This window comes from Homo sapiens, chromosome 5 (assembly GCF_000001405.40).
Source record: "Homo sapiens chromosome 5, GRCh38.p14 Primary Assembly".
NCBI lineage: Eukaryota > Metazoa > Chordata > Mammalia > Primates > Hominidae > Homo > Homo sapiens.
In genome coordinates this window covers 56,879,937-56,901,696 of record NC_000005.10, presented here as the reverse complement: position 1 = coordinate 56,901,696, position 21,760 = coordinate 56,879,937, and the positions used below count along the sequence as shown (strand labels likewise).

Here is a 21,760-nt window from a genome sequence, read left to right as displayed (position 1 = left end):
ATGGATTCAGAGAGCAGGAATGTAACGAAAGGAGTAGAACAGAAATTTTGTATTACGGATAGTAGGAAATAAAGATTTAGGCAGAATAAGGTCAGACCATTAAAAAACATGGACATTTGAGGTAGTCAGCAGTAGATAGTCATTGAATGTTCTAGTAGCAGAGTACTAGCTGGAAATAGAGTTTGAAAAGCTCAGAGGAACAGTAGTTGGCAGGATGCATGGATGGATAGATGCATGGATGGATATGGATGGATGGATGGACAGATGGATGGATGGATGGATGGATGGATGGATGGATGGATGGATGGATGGTTGGATGGATGGATGGATGGATGAATGGATGGATGACCCAGCCAGCTGAGAGTAGAGTGGTTCTGAGAACAAGAGACCAGGAAAGGGCATCAAGTATCTTGCTACAGCCTCTCCTTTTGTTGTAGACTGTTAGGAGCGGGTAGAGGGACTAGGAATACCCTGTTATGCAATAGATAAGCATAGAATCTAGGTTTTAGAATGGAAAAATGCAACTCTTAGTGATAGTTTTGAGTTTTTTTCAGTATTCTAAGGGGGAACACTGAGATTTCTGCTCTATTCCTGAGGAAGGGGTGAGATAACCTTTGATTTTCAGATATCTGGCAGGCAGTGCAAATTAAAAGTTTTACTCTGCTGCCCTCTTCTGGAGGTTGCATAATTGCCCAAATAATTCTTCCACGTTGTTCCCTTCACTTTTGCTCCTAGACAGACTTCTGGACAAAGTAGGCTATGCACATCATCTCCATGACCATGCTTGCCCAGCTATGATCATGTTTCCTTCTAGTCGGCTTCACTGGAATGGTCCTTGCCATTCACCTTGTGAGACTTAAGTTCTTATCTTACCTGACGTCTGTGGCTTTTGAAATTACTGACCTTTCTTTAAAACATTCTCCTCTCTTGATTTCCCTGACCCTGTGCGTTTCTAGTTTCTGAAGATGAGCTCTTGTCTCCTTTATCTATTCTGCTTCTTGTCTATGCCTTAAATCTTGGTCTTCATCGGGGTTCTGGTCTTGGTTTTTCCTCACTGAACATATTCTCCTGAGTATTCTCCCCCGTTTCCCTTGTGACTCATTGTGGTAGATGCTGTAGAGTTGCCTGCTTGATGTCCATTCTTCTCAGACTTCCTTATAGCTAGGGAGTTCTAGTCAAATGAAATGTGAGTGAAAATCTCGTAAGCATTTTAAGGAAAGTTTCTGTCTTCCTGACACAGGCACTACCTTTTTATTCTCCTTTTTCTTTCCCTGATTGTAGATTGGAGATCAGAGTTGGAGCCTGAGGGTGAAAGCCTCATGCTGAGAAGAGTGGAGCGGGAAGATAAAGCATGGCAACATTGATGACACCCTAGGCCTAATACACCAGCCCTGACCTGCTTACCTTCTCTCATTTGTAGGCTATGTAGTCCAGTCACTTTTACGTGCAGCTGAGTACAACCCTAAATGATATATCAATCGCTTCAGTGACCATTTATATGTCAATAGCTTGCACATTTATTATTTGCAACCAAAGTATCTCTGGAGGTACTCATGTGCATATACAGTATTACTGGAAACTTCTACTTGGATATCCTCCAGGCAACTCGAATATTTTAACATGGCCAAAGCACATCTTGTCCTCCAACCTACTCCCCCTGTGATTTCCTTGTATCAGTAATGGCACCAGCGTTCACACAGGTGACCAAGCCTGGATAGCAGACGCATCCTCGATGTCATTCTCCATCCTCCGCATACCCTTCCCCCAAGATCATTTCTACAATCTTTCAATTCTGCTGTTTAATATCGCTCAGATTTGTCTCTTCCTCCTCATTCCCATGATGCTACCTTCACCTAGGTTCTGGATACTGCAATTGCCTTCTGACTTTCTCTCTGCCTTTTGTACTGGCCCATGTAATTCTTTCTTCAAGGTACTGCAAGGGTGCTCTTTCTAACGCACAAATATCGTCATGCCACTCTCTGCCAAAGATTTTTCAATATCTCCCCATCTTTTTATTTCTCCTCCTATCCTTTCTCTCCATTTCACCCTAGTTACAACCCTCATCCTCTCAGTATGTCTACATAGATGTTGAGAAATCTTATTAAGTAAATTGACCTTAAGGGAAGCTATCACTTAGTTATCTCAAAAATAAACTCTAACAGGAATCTCAGCATTGTGGGAAAAAGAATTTTGGGGCATGAAGGATTTATCCCTTGCCACATCAGCTTAGGCTGGTTTTACCTCTACAGATGTAATAAGTTACAACCTAGGGCCATGAGGCATGGGGTATAGAGATGTCAGGTTGCATACCAACTAATGAGACTGGCTTCAGTCATCGATGGAGTTCTTTTGGTAACGGACTGTGCAGACAGTTATCTATTGCAAAATAAGACCTACAAAGTTAACTCTAACATCGACAACATATTTGAATGCTACATATGCATATTAATATTTTGTAACATGATACTTGAGCTGTAGTGGTAAGCATTTCACATTAGTGTGTGTAGTTAAGACATTAATTTTCTCTTCAGAGGTAAGCTGTCTAGCATCTATAATCAGCATCTCCACTTTTGTTCATCTCACATCTTGGAAGACAAAAGTCTTGGCCGGGAATGGTGGCTCATGCCTATAACCCCAGCACTTTGGGAGGCTGAGGCGGGCAGATCACGACGTCAGGAGATCGAGACCATCCTGGCCAACATGGTGAAACCCCGTCTCTACTAAAAATACAAAAAAATTAGCTGGATGTGGTGGCACGTGCCTGTAATCCCACTACTTGGGAGGCCGAGGCAGGAAAATCACTTAAATCAGGGAGTTGGAGGTTGCAGTGAGCCGAGATCACACCACTGCACTCCAGCCTGGTCACAGAGTGAGATTCTGTCTCAAAAAAAAAAAAAAAAAAAAAAAAAAAAAAAGACAAAAGTCTTAGATCCAATTTCCCAAAGCTGAGATTCTCGTCTAATTTTCTACCTTTTTTGTTTTCTAAGCCTGGGCACAGATCAGAGGTCAAAAGGTAGTCAGCCACAGGACAGTAGTCTAGCCCAAATAATTTTTATAGTTCTTAATAAGGATTTAAATTAGTTTTTAATGTTTAAACATCAGGGAATTGCACCTAAAATCCAGATTTCCAGCTTCTCTTGAAAATTTAGAGGATTTGACAATACTGGGCTTTCATTCTGACATGGTAACTATGACCTCCCTTGTACATGAACTTGACGCAAACTCTTAGGTCCGCCACAAGCCTTGCTGGGGATCTAGTCCCATGGGTGGTTTGAGTCTGTGACCTTTGGGTCATTCATTCATAAAAACACATCTTGTGCATTCACTACATGCCAGATACTATTCTAGGCCATTTATATAGGCTCTCACTTCTCACGACACTGTCACTTTCATTTTATAGATGCAGAAATGGAGGTTCAGAAAGTCAAAATGGGGGTCACGTAGCAGGTAAGTGGCAGAACCAGATTTAACCCAGGTTGTATCTCAGGTCCTGTAGTCACTGCATCCGTCGTTACCTACTTTAAGAGGCCCGTCCTTTCCTTTTTAATCACAGCTCAACCTGGCATTTATGCTTATAGTATAATTTAAAACGGCCAAACCACGTCATGACATAGAAAGACAGCAATTTGTATAAGTTTCCATTAGTCAGTTTTCCCTCACTGTAGTTATTTCATGCATTGTTTTATAACAAATGACTTACATCAGCTCATAAATGCAATCATTGGCATTTCTATGAGCACAATACCCCAACATTTTTCTGGATTCTGACATGAAGACTGTCACCCATTTTATAAAATTATTAATATCATTTAAATAGAATTAAGGAGCAATAGAATTGGTTCTATTACTTCATCTGGAAAAAAAACTTTTCTCCAACTTAATATTTTTAAGTGACAGAAATGTACCCTTTTGCAAAAAATACCCAAAACCTATTTAAAAGACTTACATTTAAAATCAAATTATACTTTGGGAGGCCGAGGCAGGTGGTTCACCTGAGGTCAGGAATTCGAGACCAGCCTGGCCAACATGGTGAAACCTTGTCTCTACTAAAAATACAAGAATTAGACAGGCATGGTGGTGTCCACCTGTAATCCCAGCTACTCGGGAGGCTGAGGCAGGAGCATCCTTTGAACCTGGGAGGCAGAGCCTTTAGTGAGCTGAGATTGTGCCACTGCACTTCAACGTGGACAACAGAGTGAGACTGTCTCAAAAAAAAAAAAAAAAAAAAAAACAAAAAAAACAACAAATCAAATTATACAGAAACTTGAAACCAATGTAGAGAAACAAAATGGCTTCTGAACTCAGCAACATTAACCATTTTGCATGGAGATCGGTTACATGGGGGAGGGACATGAGGAAGAATTAAGCAAGTAAGTCAATATGTTGGGAATAATCAGTCATGATTCTCACTGCCTGAGAAGAAAGTTACAAATTTGGAAAAAGGGAAAGCTTGAATGAACCCTGTTGGTGTTGGATTGCAGTTGGAAGGTTGGTGTGAGCTCATGGTTTTTATGTATGTAGGTAGGTATATGTATGCGTACTTTGCAAGTGTGCACCGAACTGTGCATATTCATAAATACATTCTAGCTCTACCAAGACAGCCAAGGAGTGGTGACATCCAGTAGAATTGAGCCTATCTAGCACCCAGATGTTGGTTTTAAACATACCATTCTCTATCAAAGGAATCAGGGCTCTTTGGGAAAATGGCTGATTCCAGGGCCAAAGGAGACATTGCGTAAGATGGGGCTGAAAGTATGGAAGTGTTCAAAGAATAATGGTGGCTTGCCAAGGATAGAGAAGCTAGCTCTCAGACATTCCCACTGGGCAAATCCGCAACAAGTTGAGCAAATATATGATGATACATGATAAATAAATGGGAGAAGGGAAAGCTCTTCTTTGCAGCAAAATGTTGCAAAGAAAAAGTGAAGGAACTACATCACCATTTGGCAACCATCAGAGTAATATATTCAGGCAAAAAAGCTAAGAGCAGAGTTAAAACTGGGCAAGAAACATCATATTTATGTAGTCTCTAATATCACCCCCAAAGAATACTTCCAATTATAAAGGTGGATTTTAATTATAAAAGGAAAGACTAACTATACAGTGTTACTATCAGTTATCACCAGTGATGGGGCAAACGACCTCTATGCCTCCTGACATGACACACCGAGAGGAGCACAGCATCACCTCTGTGATGTTCCTGCCAAAAGTGCATACTCTGAATCTAATCAAGAAGCAGCACCAGACAAACTCAATTTGAAGAGCTTCTATAAAACAATAATCTGAAATCTTTAAAAAATTAAGGCCATTAAGGTCAAGGAAGAACTAAGGAATGGCCCTGGATTCAATGAGACTGAAGAAACATGACAACTGAGAGCAACATGTGATCCTGGTTTGGATCCTCTTGCTATAAAGGACATAAATGGGCAGCTGGTGAAACCTGACTGGGGTCTTTGGGTGAAGGGTATACAGAAGTTCTCTGTGGTATTCTTGCAACTTTTATATAAGTATGAAATTATTTCAAAATAAATAAAAGTAACAACATTTGTTCAAAAACTTTTATTTACTATAAAGACAAAAACACCAAAATAGGTACAAATACTATAAAATCGGTTCAATGGGGTAAAAATTTTAATTAAAATATCTCAATATATTTAAAATAACAAAGGATACATTTAAGCCAAATTTTCTTAACCCAGAGATTTTTTTTTTTTTTTTTTGTAACATTTGCTTACACAGTAAGGTGCTAATAGAAGTTAGCCCTTAAGCCCTGGAAATCTTAGGAATCATAGTCACACAGCAAATATAATTTCATTGTGAAAGTGAACTTTGGTAGAAGAAAAATCTATAGGACACCTGAGGTAGTAGAAACTGGAATAAACAGTAGTAGACGTTATTTACAACTTGAGTACCAAATAACATTAAGAACACAAAAATAATTACACGATACAATTTCCAGTCCAGCTTTGATCCAAAGAAAATAAGAATATTACATCACATTTGCATTGAAAACAAAACAAAAAACAAAACACCACAATTACCAGCAAGCTGAGGGAACTGCAAACAAACTCAAACACAATGGATTTTGAAATCTACAGATAGTTTGAGTTTGAAATGTGGTGGGCATGGTGATCTACAAAGTAATACTGATTAGCTGAGGTTCCTCAGTTTATACAGTTTACATTTTTGTCAGACACAGTATTCATCTGACCAATGATCTTCCAGTACATAAAATGGCAAGAGTGCATCCTTTAAAGCTTGCACATGAGAGACTTGGAAACAATCTTATTAGAATTGTGAAAATTCTAAGTAGTCAAAAAAAAAAAAAAACAAAATAAAAAAGAAAGTCAAGTACAACACATTTAGAGATACCAAACTTCACATTTCTGTACTATTTTTAACTCTTCAAATATCGCCAATCTTCCAAAACAAAGGAATGTAAAATTTCACTAAGAAACATATTCACATAAAAAACAAACTGCCTTTTAAAAATTGTAAGCAATATATCCCTGTAAACTTATCTTGTAACTTATTTTATTTCCAATTTGTGTTGTACATTTTAAATGTACTCTATATATAGCTTATTTAGTTTATCCTGAGTCTTTGAGAATAACCAATTCTATTTCACACTGGCTTCTGAAGAGTTAAAACTAAAATCTCAAAGTTGTACTTAATAGTTAATCAGTACTTGATTTAAAAGACTCACACACACACAAAAAGATTAAAAAGCTACCATTTTCCTTCAGGATTCCATGCATCTGAATTTAACTCCAGACTAAAACCGTTAGGTAACTGTGCAAAATCCAAGGAATTAGTGTATAAATGAAATTCAATTCCATTTTTCTTTCTGAACACATTTTCCAAGTTCAAAGCAAATGTACTGTTTAAAAACATTACTGATTGGTAGTTGAATAATCTTTTTAAAAAATGATCTGCCAGGCCTACTGTAAAGAGATGATGCATGGTAAAAGGAAAATGGCAGCTCTATGTTACTACCAGTAGTGAAGGTGAATGATGGATTGTTACATACAGAGTAAGACTTAAATGTTGTGAAGTTTCCTACAGTTTGACAACCAAAACATCTAAAAAATTCAAATAAATTTTAAGGTAATCTTGATCTTGGTTGTGAGTTGCACCAGAGAGGACAGTTTATTTTTAGTTAACTTGTACTTAACCTGCACAATAAGAGTGGTGACTGACTCAAATGTAGGTAGTACTTTATTGTATTCCAATTTAAAAAAACAAAATTAAGTCTATATTTTAAAAACTCTGACAATAGCAAGATATTTAATGAACTCTACTTCATATCTAGTTCATTTTTTTTTTCTGGTTTGAAAAAAAGATCAGCTTTCCCTGAATAAACAAAAATGAATGTAAATAAACATGAAAATACAAAACCATAATTTCCAAAAACGAAATGAATGGGCCAACAGTAAAATGCACAATGAGCCACAACTGCCCTGGTATTTAAGAAAATAAAGGTCAACTGTGGGTCATAAAGAAGTATCAACTTTTAAAAATATATGTATGTATTGCTACTCATAGCATACTCTGACCTAAAAGAGGCAGATACTGATTTTATAGCCAGTGACAAAAAATTTGAACGGAATTGCAGAACCCCCTGCTTGTGATCACTATATGAAATGGAAGAATAATTGAAATATTAAAATAGATCCTGAGCCCCTCAGCCGCTAATATTGCTGAAAAAGTGCTCCAAAAAAATAAAATTATGCTTCTGCAATTTAGTCATGCAAACTTCATTGTTTTCCTGTTCACCTAGGGCCAGTTCTTTGAAAGGCACAGTTTACAGTTTCTGCACTAGTTTGGGCTTTTGCATACTGAGCTTAGGTACAGATCATGATTTGTCAATCACATACTTAGGTAAGGGTTCCCCACTGGCCTCGTTCATAGCTGTTCAGTGGCATCATGGCCAGTAGAATATCAATGTGGTTCCCCACAAGTTTTTTTTCTCTTGTTGAGCATCCTGTTTCTACTGTAGTTGATCTGCATAATTGGCTACCATGTAGTACGAAAGACTGGATGCTTCAGTAGCTCTCTTGATGGAGGTCTGTCCTGAGGTTGAAGTTCTAAACAACGAAGAGCCACATCTCGTAAACCAGGAGACAAATGTGAAGGGATCGATGGAGCAGTAGTTGCACTAGCAATCTGTGGAGAAAAAGCCAGTGTTGAAGCTTTGCACAACTGTAACTTCTGATACAGAAACACATGTGCATAGACCTCATAACCCTTACATTTACATCCTGAACAGAGAGGAACTGAAGCAGAAGTGGGAGGATTTTCTGCTATCAAAAAGTCTATGAAAAAATTCATCCACTGGATGGGAGGTTTTCTCTAACAATCTTTCAAATTTTAGGATTTTAGGATTTGATCAAATATATCCTATTCCTTATTATTTACATCAACAAGGCTAAGTACATCAAAATGTTCAGGTAGATAAAGTATTCACTCAAATGAATTCTGCTGTCCTCATATTCAATCTCCGAGATGGTTTGTTCTTACTGCACGTTTTCTATTTCTTCAGCATACAGAGCTATTTAGATTAAGAAAGACTAAAACTGAAGAGTCAATTTAATACATAGAAAACACAACTGCATTGTTTTTTTCCTTCCGTGTTGGACAAATTCTGATTCTTAGTATCAAATACACTATGAAGAATAACTTTTTTATAAACAAATTGTAAGTCTGAATACTTTTTTTTTAAAAAAAAAGAAATTTTATTTGGTCTTATTTGTAGTTTTTCTAAAAAAATTCAAAATCTGATAATTATTTTTAAATTGTGATACACTCTTTACATTCTAAAATTTGTGCTGCAATAACCATATTTTAATTTCAAGTCATATATAAAAAAAAGTATTAGTTTTCTAACAATTTTTGAGCACCCATTATGAATCAGAGCTGACTCCAGGCAGAGATAGTGTCTTTCTTGCATATCTCCCTATTTGTGGTATCAATTTTCTTCTTCTTGAAATGCATTCCTAAAAATAATTTTTTTCAGTGAGTGTCTGCTGAAGGTAAACTTCCACAATTCTCATGTGTCTGAAAATATCTCTATTTCATTCTTATTTTTTGATGATCATTTAGCTAGCTATGAAATCCTAGGTTAACTGTTATTTTATTTCAATCACTAGAAGGTACAATTTGTCTTTTGAATTCTCTTGTTGCTGCTGTATTCTGTTATCCATATAATTGTTATCAATTTTTTTTCTTGTAATTTGTCTTTTCTCTTTGGTTCCTTCTTGTCTTTAGCATTCTTCAGTTTCATTAAGCTGATAAGCAACTTCAGCAAAGTCTCAGGATACAAAATCAATGTGCAAAAATCACAAGCATTCTTATACACCAATAACAGACAAACAGCCAAATCATGAGTGAACTCCCATTCACAATTGCTTCAAAGAGAATAAAATACCTAGGAATCCAACTTACAAGGGATGTGAAGGACCTCTTCAAGAACTACAAACCAGTGCTCAATGAAATAAAAGAGGACACAAACAAATGGAAGAACATTCCATGCTCATGGATAGGAAGAATCGATATCGTGAAAATGGCCATACTGCCCAAGGTAATTCATAGATTCAATGCCGTCCCCATCAAGCTACCAATGACTTTCTTCACAGAATTGGAAAAAACTACTTAAGTTCATATGGAACCAAAAAAGAGCCCACATTGCCAAGTCAATCCTAAGCCAAAAGAACAAAGCTGGAGGCATCATGCTACCTGACTTCAAACTATACTACAAGGCTACAGTAACCAAAACAGCATGGTACTGGTGCCAAAACAGAGATATAGACCAATGGAACAGAATAGGGCCCTCAGAAATAATCCCACACATCTACAACCATCTGATCTTTGACAAACCTGACAAAAACAAGAAATGGGGAAATGATTCCCTATTTAAGAAATGGTTCTGGGAAAACTGGCTAGCCATATGTAGAAAGCTGAAACTGGATCCCTTCCTTACACCTTATAAAAAAATTCAAGATGGATTAAAGACTTAAATGTTAGACCTAAAACCATAAAAACCCTAGAAGAAAACCTAGGCAATACCATTCAGGACATAGGCATGGGCAAGGACTTCATGTCTAAAACACCAAAAGCAATGGCAACAAAAGCCAAAATTGACAAATGGGATCTAATTAAACTAAAGCGCTTCTGCAGAGCAAAAGAAACTACCATCAGAGTGAACAGGCAACCTACAGAATGGGAGAAAATTTTTGCAATCTACTCATCTGACAAAGGGCTAATATCAAGTCTGAATACTTTAAACTCACCTATCCACTCCTAATCACAAGAAAACTCTCTTTTCCCTACCCCAGTAATTTCATAAATGCTTTGGGTTAAAAAATGCAAAGTAATATAAAGAAAAATCCTCTAAGGTCTGTGATCCTGTATCATGATATACTCAGCTGATATATACACATCTTACACACCACAAAAAGGAAAAATACAAAACAAAAAAAGTCCCTCTTCCTTCTTTTCCCCAAATGTAACTTACTGATGATTTGTGTGTGTGTGTGTGGGGGGGGGGGGTGTGTGTGTGTCTGTGTGTGTTTTGTGGAGGAAAAAAGGCCAATATATTCACAGACTTAAGATTTTCTAAAATGTCTACAAAAGAGAAAACTTAATTTAGAGACAGGGTCTCGCTCTCACTGTCACCCAGGCTGAAGTGCAGTGATATGAACATGGCTCACTGCAGCTTTGACCTCCTGGGCTCAAGCGATCCTCCCACCTCAACCTCCTGAGTACCCTGGAGCACAGGTGCGTCTCACTATGCCCAGCTAATTTTTTTTTTTTTTTGGTAGAGATGGGGTCTCGCTATGCCCAGGCTGCTCTCCAACTCCTGGGTTCAAGTTTTGTTCTTGCCTCAGCCTCCCAAAGTGCTGGGATTACAGGCATGAGCCACTGTGCTTGGCCAGGATCACTTTATATACCTTGCTCTTTTCACTTATTAATGTATCTTGTAGCACTTTGTAAATCAACACCAACAGCTTCATACTCGTTTAATTTCTGTATAGTGTGGATAATTTAATTACTTTCTTGAGTAGAGTGAATAATCCTGAACTTGGCACTTGGTACTTCTAGAGGTAATCTTGAGTAAATTCCTAACAATGGGCATAGCTGAGTCAAAGAATAAGTGCATTAAAAATTCTGGCAGATATTGCCAAATCACTCTCTAAAAAAACGTGCTATGGCAATTTATACTACCATAAACAGGGTATGGAAGTGTTTGAGAAAGCTTTGGGGTGCTTCCAAAAACCTCAAAGTATTTACTCCAAATTAAGGAAACTGAAAATGTTACAGTACAATTCTCTTTAAACTCTACCTAGGAAGGAGAATGCAATGAAATCTGTTAAAATATGAACTGTGCCAATTTGAAAATTATTTACAATTGTTTCCAGGGTCTCATCAAAACTCTTAAAATAACATCAAACTTTCAAATTGATCCTAGCCATGAGTATTTATTGAGCAACTTCTGTATAAGACTCTGGGAAGAAGAAAATGAATCAGACATGAATGGACCTCAAGGAGAATTAGTTTGAAAGAGGCAGCAAGATAGGAACATAACTAGCAAACAAGAAACAAAGTGTCAGAAACAAGTATGTACTAAAATGCTATGAGAATCTGGAATGAGTAAAAAGGGGGTGCCCAAGCAGGAGAAGCACAAAATGGGGGCCTTAAAGAGAATAAGAATTTGAACCACGTAGAGAACGGACATGGGACGTCTGAAAGAATAGAGGAAATGAGGTGATAATACAAAACAGGTATTGTCAGAGAGGTGACTGAGGAGGTTATATAATAAGTGTGGGGAGCACTGGAGGAGGTTATGGCAGGTGGAGCTGACTGTGTGGGCTGAGTGCTTGACTAAGGCCTAGGTATAATTTTGTTTATCTTCATAGTAATCCCACGAAGTACATGCTTCATGGGGTTCTTGCACCAATTTTACATGTGAGAAAATGGAGGGTAGACACAAAAAATAATTTTCCTATGATTACATGGCCATTAAGGGGTAGAGCCAGGGTTTAAAACTAGGTCAGTGTGACTCCAAAGCCCATGATTTCAACCATCACATCTACTGAAAAGCTAAGAATATCAACCATTACTTATTCTATGGTGGAAAAGGAGAGAATGGATTTGTGAGTTATAAAAAAGTAGGAAAGGCAGACAGGACTGAACTGACTTGGGTGTGAATTTTTAAAATATACAAAATAGTAAATTAGGCCAGGAGTGGTGGCTCACGCCTGTAATCCCAGTACTTTGGGAGGCTGAGGTGGGCTTGAGGTCAGGAGTTCGAGACCAGCCTGGCCAATATGGTGAAACTCCATCTCTACTAAAAATACAAAAATTAGCTGGGCATGGTGGCGCGTGCCTGTAGTCTCAGCTACCTGGGAGGCTGAGGCAGGAGAACTGCCTGAACCTGGGAAGCGGAGGCTATAGTGAGCTGAGATCGTGCCACTGCACTCCAGCCTGGGCACTGCAGCGAGACTCTGTCTCAAAAACAAAAACAAAAAACAAACGAACAAAAGAAAATGGTAAATTAGATTTTAAGATTTTTGAATTATGTAAAATGCATGAATTTCACGTTTTTAAAGTGATGGATGGATATATATACACACATACATATACATATAAACACACTACATATTTCTTCTAGAAGCAGTGTTTTAGTATTTGCTAATTCAATATTTGTAGCAACTTAACAGAGCATAACTACCTCAAATAACAAGAAGTGACTATGTATGTCACTAACATTGACAACACCATTGACAATATCAACTCCTGGAAATACACACATACACAGATGCTCTTCAACTTACGCTGAGGTTATGTCGTGATAAACCCCTTTTAAGTTGATGATATTTTTTTAAGTTGAAAATGCAGTTAATACACCTAACCTGCCAAACATTATAGCTTAGTCTGGCCTACCTTGAATGTGCTTATAATACCTACATTAGCCTACTGTTCCGCAAAATCATCTGACAACACAGTCCACTATAGAGTATTGGTTGTTCACTCTCGTGATTGTGTGGCTGACTGGGAGCTGTGACTCGCTGCCACTGCCTAGCATCACCAGTGTATCATAGCACATATTGCTAGCTCAGACAAAAATCAAAATTCAAAGTATGGTTTTTACCAAATTTGTATTGCTTTTGCACCATCTTAAAGTAAAAAACTTGTATATCAAATCCTCTCTGAATAAATATACAGACTATTTATTTACCTTCATGCTAGATTGTTAGGGAGAACCCATCAAAATTTGCCTCCTGCCAAATTCTGCTGTACTCCTTTTAGCACAAAGAAGTAATTTTTATCTCACAATTACCTTAAATATCAAAGCAAGATGATTGGAGTGTTTTTCTGCATTCCATGGTGGTTTTGCACAAGCCATTTCTATAATAGCACAGCCAACACTCCATACATCACAGCTCCTTCCATACTGTTGACCTCTTAGTACCTAAAATAAATCAGAGTTAATTTGGAAATAGGACTCATTTGAAAAAGAGAAGGCCATTTTGTAGTTATAGATTCTACTTCCTTACTTTAGGGAGAAAACTGGTACAAACAGGAATTCTGTGGACTACCTAATATCTAATTTATTTCATTAATGAGCTTAATTTTCCAGGTAGCACAAAAATATTTTGGAGAATTGTGAGATTCTGAAGCAGAGTCCCATCACAGAATTTTGCTCTTAGCAAACTATGTGGCAAGAGGACAACAGATCATTACTACATATGAACATGAAGAATTATGAACACGACAGAAGAAGCTGAGTCAGAAGAACAATGCTTAAACTCCTTCCACTACAGACAGGAGCTGCCTCTGTATGCTCATCTCCTTTTAGAATAGAGAGAGAATATTTTTAAAAATTTCTTATGTGCACTTTGAGTTTATTACAAAACAACTGCTATAAATTACCCCAGAATTCTTTATTAGTAACAGCCGTTAAGTAAATCTATTAAAACCTGTTTTTTGAATATTGCCAAGGCAAAGAAAGGTCGAGAATAAGGGTCTGAAAGATATTATTAAAACCGTATTTTAAGGGCCACGGACTTCTAGTTGGTAAGTACATACTGGATACCACTGCAAGATAATTTAGTATAATGCTGTTACACAGAATTCCAAAATATTTTCTGTCATCACACTCAAAGATGCTTCTCACCTCAGGTGCCATAAATGCAATTGTCCCCAGTAATTGTCCCTGAAACTCTCCTGCACCAGTTCCTTTTGATGCCAACCTGGCTGCAGCTCCAAAATCTGCAATTCTTAGTCTCTGACCAGTGCTGTCAATTAGCAAATTGGCACCTGTCAACAAACACAGCAAATGACCTTGTATGTTAAAAACAAAAATAAGGACAGATAAAAGCCCAGTACAATACTAATGAACTAGGACAATGACAAAAGAAAGAAGTGAACTACATGTCAGAGGTGCAAACAGTTATTCTCTTTTCCTTTCACTTCATTCTTGCTAAAGGCACACAGCTCTCTCTAGCGTACGCTAAATTCATAATTAGAGCTTAATTTAAAAAGTTATAAAATTACTTCAACACATTATGTCAAATACTAGCTAAAAAGACTAATGACAGAAAACCAAATTTGCTCTTGAGAAAAATAAACTGAGGCCAGGTACGGTGGCTGACGCCTGTAATCTCAGCACTGTGGGAGGCTGAGGCAAGCGGGTCGCTTGAGCCCAGGAGTTCAAGACCAGCCTGGGGGCAACATGGCAAAACCCCATCTCTACAAAAAATATAAAAAATTAGCCAGGCATGGTGGTGCACACCTGTTGTCCTAGCTACTTGGGAGGCTGAGGTGGGAGGATCACTTGAGCCCAGGAAATGAGTTACAGTGTGCCAAGTTTGCAACACTACACTCCAGCCTGAGTGACAGAGAACCTGTCTCCAAAAAAAAGAAAAGGATAAGGAAAATAATGGGACCTACAAAGGATTTGAAGGAATTTTTCTTAAAAGAAGTTGATGATATCCCAATATCCCAATTATTCAAAATAAAACCAGGAAAAGGAACTTTCTGGGAGTCAGCGTATCATGAGGCCAAGACAGGGAATCTGGAGACCTGTGTTGTATACTTTCTGCCATTAACTAGCAATAAAACTGTAGAAAAGGCACAGCCTCTCTTGTATTCAATGTACTTTTCTATTAAACGAGGAAGGCAGATTAAATGATCCCTAAGGCTCATTTCAGTTCTAATATTCTGAATTACTCAGAGAAAAAAATCCCACTGTTAGAAACTATCAACAAAGGTCCATTTTTTTGTTCTTCTTTGAGACAGAGTCTCACTCTGTCACCCAGGCTAGAGTGCAGTGGTGTGATCTCAGCTCACTTCAACCTCTGCCTTCCGGGTTCAAGCAATTCTCCTGTCTCAGCCTCCCAAATAGCCAGGATTACAGGCATGCGCCACCTTACCCTGTTAATTTTTGTATTTTTAGTAGAGACAGGGTTTCACCATGTTGGCCTGGCTGGTCTCGAGCTCCTGACCTCAAGTGATCCACCTGCCTTCACCTCCCAAAGTACTGGGATTACAGGTGTGAGCCACTGTGCCTGGCCCCAAATTTTAAAATTAATTTTTTTATTGTCACTAGATAATAATTAGAAGAATTCTCACCTTTGACATCTCTGTGAATGATTTGGTTTTCATGGAGATACGAAAGGCCACGGAGTAACTGTTCAGTGTAGTTAATAACTACTGATTCTTTGAAGGCTCCATATTTACTCAGCAAATGAGCCACCGATCCCCCTATAAGACAATAGAAATAATTATCATAAACTTAAGACAGAATTAAAAGTATTTATTACACTTTGGTTTCTAAAGTTTTCACTGCATGAACTCACATTCACATCTGAAACAGAAGAAAAACATTTCAAAACTAACATATTCCTGTATCATCTCAAAAACCTACTAATTAGGAGACATTTTCACAGAACCCACAGGGAAACCAGTTTATTGGAGAGTCAAGATTTCAGAAAGCTGTAAAAGTTAACAATTTCGGATTAAACTATTTCTGAAATGTACAATTCAATTCTCTGTCTTCTCAAAATACACAAAACAACTTTATTAATGACTAAAGTAAACAATGTTAACATATTATGTAGTAAAAGGTGGAAAGAATGGGAGGAGGAACAGAAAACCCAGAGTTAGGCGTCATATTCTACCATTTACTAGCTCTGACCTGGAACATGTCTCAAATTTAGCCGCTTTTAAAAGTGTTTATAGTAGTCAACCTATCTACTGTAGTGTAAATCTTTATTAAGACCAACCAACAGATAACATACTTAAGAACTGACTGGTAAAGAGAAATGCACTCTTAAATACACACACAAATCTAAGAAGTTAAACCAAACAATCTGTTCATCACATCAGGTCATTAATTTTATTGTATACATTGTATAATACAAAATAAAACTCAGTCTTCATTTATTTCAGCAGATGACAAGGTTCAACTTTATGCTTCAGTGCTAGTTTACTTGTAGTAAGTTTTCAAGTTATATGTTAATTTTGTTTGTATATTGTTATGTTAAAACACTTCCTCATCTGTCCAATTTATCATGGCTACCTGGAAATATACATATCTTATACATATCAAGTATTAAAAACAACAATGCTACACAATCATTTAAAAACACACTGGAAAAATTTAAAAGGTAGAGGTAGTCAATATTTCATTTATAGTAAATGAAATACAAAACGAAGTATTTGTGGTTCATACTAATATATTGGGGTGATTTGTTTTTAGAAACCCAAACTATTTGATAGAAATAAATTTTAATTAAACTGGTTTTTCCTAAATTGCAGAAAGTTAAATCCACGTACTACTATTTTGTAATTTAAAACATTAACATACCTGCCATCCATTCAATGAAGAGATTGTAATTGCTCTTCTCACACGTGGCTCCCAACATCCTAATGATGTTTGGATGATTCAGATGGCTCATCATTCTTATCTCTTCTCTTAGTGCTTCTACTACTTCTTCTTGCTCAGAAGATGTGTTTCTGACATAAGTCACCTGTTTCAAATAAACACGTTCACAAAGTTTTGCATATTTTCACTAGCAATCTGATCTAAAATGAACAAATGCAAACTAGCACTTTATTAGCAACAGATGGCATTTATGCTTATGGATGCAATGTACTTTAAACAAACCCAAGTCAAACTCTTTTAAACACTAAGAATCTAGCTTAAGCAGCAGTAAACATCAGAAAAATGACAAAAATATTGGGATATAGTCAATATTCCAATAGTCTCAGAGTAAAGATGAGAAAAGCCCAAATATGGGAGAAGAATCAACATGATTTAAAAATGAAAGTTTAATAATTTTCCTATCCTGATTAAGTATGCTCGTTATAATAAAAAGTAAACCACTGAAACCCCAAGATGGCACCGCACAAGTACACTGTTGAAAGAAGTACCTGAAAACCACCTCTACTACCTACAAAAAGCAAAACCAAAAAAACCTTTGTAAGGCCCATCTTGATATTGTAGTCTTACAATAATCATACTTCAACTTTTATTTATTTTTTTTTGAGACAGTCTTGCTCTGTTGCTCAGGCTGGAGTACAGTGGTGCGATCTCGGCTCACTGCAACCTCTACCTCCTGAGTTCAAGCAATTCTTCTGTCTCAGCCTCCTGAGTAGCTGGGACTACAGGTGCCTACCACCCTGCCCGGCCGATTTTTGTATTTTTAGTAGAGGTAGGGTTTCACCATGCTGGCCAGGCTGGTCTTGAACTCCTGGCCTCAAATGATCCAACCACCTTGGCCTCCCAAAGTGCTGGGATTACAGGTGTGAGCCACCACGCGTGGCCTCAACTTTTAACAATAACAGAATTCATGATGTTTCTGGTGCTTTAGAAACATCTACTTTGAAACTAAGTTTCTCAAAGTTTAAAGAACTAAAGTACACACACGTGGACATATCCTTTATTCTTTTTACTGAACATGCTTCATTTTGTGATTTGAGTCATTTCATTTATATGCTCACTAGATATTTACCTGTTTAACAGCCATTAAAGTTCCAGTTCCCACATCTTGAGCCTGATAACAAGAAGAAAATGCTCCAAGGCCTATCTGTTGACCTTTCAGCCATTCAGTGTCTTCTCTATACGGTTGTTTTGCTTTGGTATGTCCTGGTAGAGTCTCTGGTGTCTACATATTAAACGAAAGCAATCTTTTTACTGTTAAAGGAGTAAGATTTTGTGAAATTAGTCTGCAAGATATTATTCTTATTCAGTCTGGCTTCCCAAACCACCTATAAATGTGACCTCTGAATGGAAGGTATTTGTGACCGACAGCAAATGCAAAAGTAATCACCATTATACAATTAACCGGAAATGCCCATAGGCAAGAATTATTGCTGTTTAAACAGTACAAACATTATTGTTGTATAAGTAATAATTTTATGTGGAAAACTCTGCTTCTGAATGTTAGAAGCAGCATTTCTGAATTAGGTTTATTTTAGTATGGTCCAAGGAAGCTCTCTGTGAGACAGTGTCTTGCTCTGTCATTCAGGCTAGAGTACAATGGTGTAATCACAGCTCACTGTAGCCTCAAACTCCCAGGTTCAAGTGACCCTCCCCACCTCAGCTTCCTGAGTAGCTGGGACCCCAGGTGTACACTATCATGCCTGGCTAATTTTTAAAATTTTTTGTAGAGACAGGGTCTTGCTTTGTTGACCAGGCTAGTTTCGAACTCCTGTGCTCAAGCAATCCTTCGGCCTCAGCCTCCCCAAGTGCTGGAATTCCAGGTATGAGTCACTGTGCCCAGCCCCAAGGAAGTTTTCTAACCTCTTAAAGAATCTATACTTACATCCTGTTGAATAATGATGATATCTTCTCCATTTTCAACCTGCAGCTGAGGAACTATGGGGAGGGCATCCTGAGACGCTGACATTGCCATGGCAATTGCTAAAGCTTCTTCTTCTTCAGCTTCCATCTTCTCTTTGCACTTTTGATTATGATTCACATCATCTTTGTAGGTATCATCATTTTCAGCCTTTTCAGGAGACAGGACAGCAACTTCTGACTTAAAAGTTACTGTTGTATCACTTGAAGGCATAGATGCTTCAAGAAGGTCCTCAATACTGGAGTTGAGCTCTGTATTGACATCTAATCTGCATTTCTCCTCTACTGGGGTGAACACTGTCTCGTCACTGGGTATAACAGCATTACTACTATTGCTGCTACAGCCAAAGCTGTCATCACATTTGGAACTACTGTTCAGATCAAGTGTCATGCTATTTTTTGAGGGATCTCCCTGTTTACTTGTATTACCTGGGGTAGGTCTAGATGGCTTTGGCCTGTGTATGTTACTGGAGGGCAAGGGTCTTGACTGAGTAAAGACTGGGGAAAGTTTATCTGAGTCTTTGTTTTCAGGACAGTTTCTGTGGAATTGTAGAGAAAACTTGCGCTGTGTTTGAGGAGATGCAGAAGGTATTCTGCAGGGAATGAATCCCTGAAGTCTATGCTTAGAGACATCTGTTGCAGTGCCAGCTGGTACAGATGGGGTAGAAGAAGAAGGGGTTGACAAGGCTGGAAACATTAATTGGGAATGATGAGATAAAGGAGAGGAGTTCAAACACTGACTGTGGGGTCTGCCTTTTGTTTGAACCATTGGCTTTGGTTGCTCTGTTGTTGTTGTTGTTGTTGTTGTTGAACTAGAAGGTCCTACTGAAATGCTGGCCAGTCTCTCAGAAATGTCCTCTGAACTGGCACTCAATTTTGTAGCACATAATCCTTTTCCAGTTTTCTCTAAATGGACTGTGCACTCAGGGGAACTGTTCTCTGTGGTTTCCAGATAGTTGTTGGGAACAGATGCCTGCAAGAAGCTGTCCTGTTGACCATCCAAAGTGTCTTCTACGCCCAACTGGATGGCTTCGGCAATTTCCACCTCATCTGCAATAGCCATCAAACGGCGACGCATCCTGGTGAAGTGAGTGGAACTGGAAACACTCAGCATTTCTAACAGTTTTGAAAACACATGGGGTACTGTAGTAACCATTCTTGCAGAACTCAAGTAGATCCTTCTGGAAAGTTTGCCAACCATTGAGTGGGAATTATCAATGGACTGCAAAGCAAAGGTTAAGAGGGACAGCAGCTTCTTATACCTGAAAGAAAAAAACATTCATTACCATATAAGTTCCAATTACTGAAAAATACATGGAAACTTAAAAAATGGTAGTAATTTACAGCATGTATACTTCAAAAACCATTTCAGCATAAAGTATCTATGAATTTTTAATTAAAGAGCCCAGACTTTGGGTTTTCATATGTCAATCAAATATTAAGGTATCAGCAACCTATTCATGCTCTGAGTCTTTCAAAAATCTAAAATGTGTCATTCTTGAGGAGGGTGTAGGGAGGGTAGGAAGATACAAGTAATACATTTTCAGAAGAAAAATTACCTGATTTCAACAGGCTCAGCTTGTGAAACATCAGTACTGACAATATGAGGATAAAATTCAGCAGGAAATTCCAACAACAGTCTATCTATAAGACAAAGGCGGCCAAGAAGTTCTTGCCAATTGTTTGATTCAGTTTGGTTTCCAAGAATACAATTTAAGACATAATCAACACCACCAATACCAATGGATCCTACAAAAAGGAAAGTAAAAATAAATGATTAAAAAATAGTGATATTAAAATCTAAAACAAGACATGATTAAATGGTGTAAGGCCAACAAAAATATTCTGAACTATTTTAAAGAATTTCTCTCTCAGAGTAATTCACATTTCTAACTGTAACACAGTGAATCAATTTATAAAATTACTTCAAAATCCTGTAAACTGCCTCATGAGAGATTATGAGATTAGACAAGGCTGCTCAGGAACATGATAAAATATGCTATATTCCTTTTAAGTGAAAAGTTATTACCAGCTTTTAGTATTTCTCTGCCAACTGCCAACTCTCCTGCTTGGCCTTTGCACAGTTCCAACAGTGTTGATATGGACAGCTGACTTGTGCGGCTAAAAACAAAGGAAAAGCAACATCAATCCTGGATCTTGGCTAAAACACTATACAATATTAGAGGAGTAATGTAATGCCTTGTGAAAAAGTGGAGAAATAATGTTTTCAGGAGTGTTTACTTTTCCACCACTAAAATCATATTAACAATGTCACCATAAGTAGTAATATTCATTTATTAGGTCTAATTTCGTAAATTTAACATATCCCCTATGTTAAGCACAGAATTTTCAACAATGGCTCTTTGCAAGTACTGATTTAAATACCAAATCAGATAAAAGTCTTATATTTTGTTAAAAGAAAAAACAAGGACCTTGATATTTTGATTTCTGAACTTTCACTAAGAAGCTCTTGAATTAAAAACAAAACCTTCCTATCCAAAAACCCTCCATTTCCTTACATAGCCAAAATGAGGTCTGAATATTATAAAATCTCTCTACAGTATTTCTTATGTTCAGTCATTCAGGTGACCAGGTAAACAACCTAAGTTTGGAGTTTCAAAAAGTGAGCAGCATAACAAATACCATGAGAACACTGAATTCTCAGAAATATACCTATTCTAATATTTAAAAATGACATTTTTCCTATGCATTTTGCAAATTACTTGTTAATTTGCAATATTTTACAGATATACAATGTTTTCTCTAAGCAACAAGGAAACATCCAATATTTTCAATCTATAGAGAAAACAATAGAGGCAAAAGACAGACTTCATGATATGAGAAATTCGTTAAAGGTAGGTACCTAATTTTTGAGATCCTGTGCAAACTAAGTCA

General features: G+C 37.5%; 1 protein-coding gene and 1 long non-coding RNA gene across 5 annotated transcripts in view, besides 3 other annotated features; one reads left to right on the top strand and one right to left on the bottom strand.

Moving 5' to 3' along the window:
• Nucleotides 1–1,630: 1,630 nt before the first annotated feature.
• Nucleotides 1,631–5,260, top strand: LOC105378980 (uncharacterized). The gene is made up of 3 exons (XR_948347.4): nt 1,631–1,700; nt 3,401–3,447; nt 5,117–5,260. It is a non-coding gene; the product is annotated as an uncharacterized LOC105378980 (long non-coding RNA).
• Nucleotides 1,793–1,962: an enhancer, noted in NCBI's record as "experimental_86245 CRE fragment used in MPRA reporter constructs". NCBI's record gives its function as "activates a minimal promoter by MPRAs in K562 erythroleukemia cells, with activity observed for both the introgressed and non-introgressed 5:56195647 variant alleles {active_cell/tissue: K562}" and the evidence as "EXISTENCE:reporter gene assay evidence [ECO:0000049][PMID:34662402]".
• The window catches only part of MAP3K1 (mitogen-activated protein kinase kinase kinase 1), an 80,604-nt gene continuing 64,388 nt past the window's right edge, over nt 5,545–21,760 (bottom strand). For 3 of the 4 annotated variants that reach the window (NM_005921.2, XM_047417219.1, XM_047417220.1), the window contains 9 exons: nt 20,895–20,986; nt 20,425–20,614; nt 18,831–20,127; nt 18,018–18,170; nt 16,871–17,033; nt 15,634–15,765; nt 14,177–14,319; nt 13,340–13,471; nt 5,545–8,166 (listed from right to left, as the gene is read on the bottom strand). In NM_005921.2, the coding sequence (NP_005912.1) occupies nt 8,017–8,166; nt 13,340–13,471; nt 14,177–14,319; nt 15,634–15,765; nt 16,871–17,033; nt 18,018–18,170; nt 18,831–20,127; nt 20,425–20,614; nt 20,895–20,986 (2,452 nt within the window). In that variant the 3' untranslated portion in view covers nt 5,545–8,016. Of the gene's footprint in view, nt 8,167–13,339; nt 13,472–14,176; nt 14,320–15,633; nt 15,766–16,870; nt 17,034–18,017; nt 18,171–18,830; nt 20,128–20,424; nt 20,615–20,894; nt 20,987–21,760 lie in introns of those variants that run through there. The other variant, XM_047417218.1, reaches the window with a different exon arrangement.
• Nucleotides 18,136–19,335: an enhancer, noted in NCBI's record as "CDK7 strongly-dependent group 2 enhancer chr5:56178189-56179388 (GRCh37/hg19 assembly coordinates)". NCBI's record gives its function as "activates an origin of replication core promoter dependent on BRD2, BRD4, P300/CBP, MED14 and CDK7 cofactors, with strong dependence on CDK7, by STARR-seq in HCT116 cells {active_cell/tissue: HCT116}" and the evidence as "EXISTENCE:reporter gene assay evidence [ECO:0000049][PMID:35650434]".
• Nucleotides 21,134–21,303: an enhancer, noted in NCBI's record as "experimental_86223 CRE fragment used in MPRA reporter constructs". NCBI's record gives its function as "activates a minimal promoter by MPRAs in K562 erythroleukemia cells, with activity observed for both the introgressed and non-introgressed 5:56176306 variant alleles {active_cell/tissue: K562}" and the evidence as "EXISTENCE:reporter gene assay evidence [ECO:0000049][PMID:34662402]".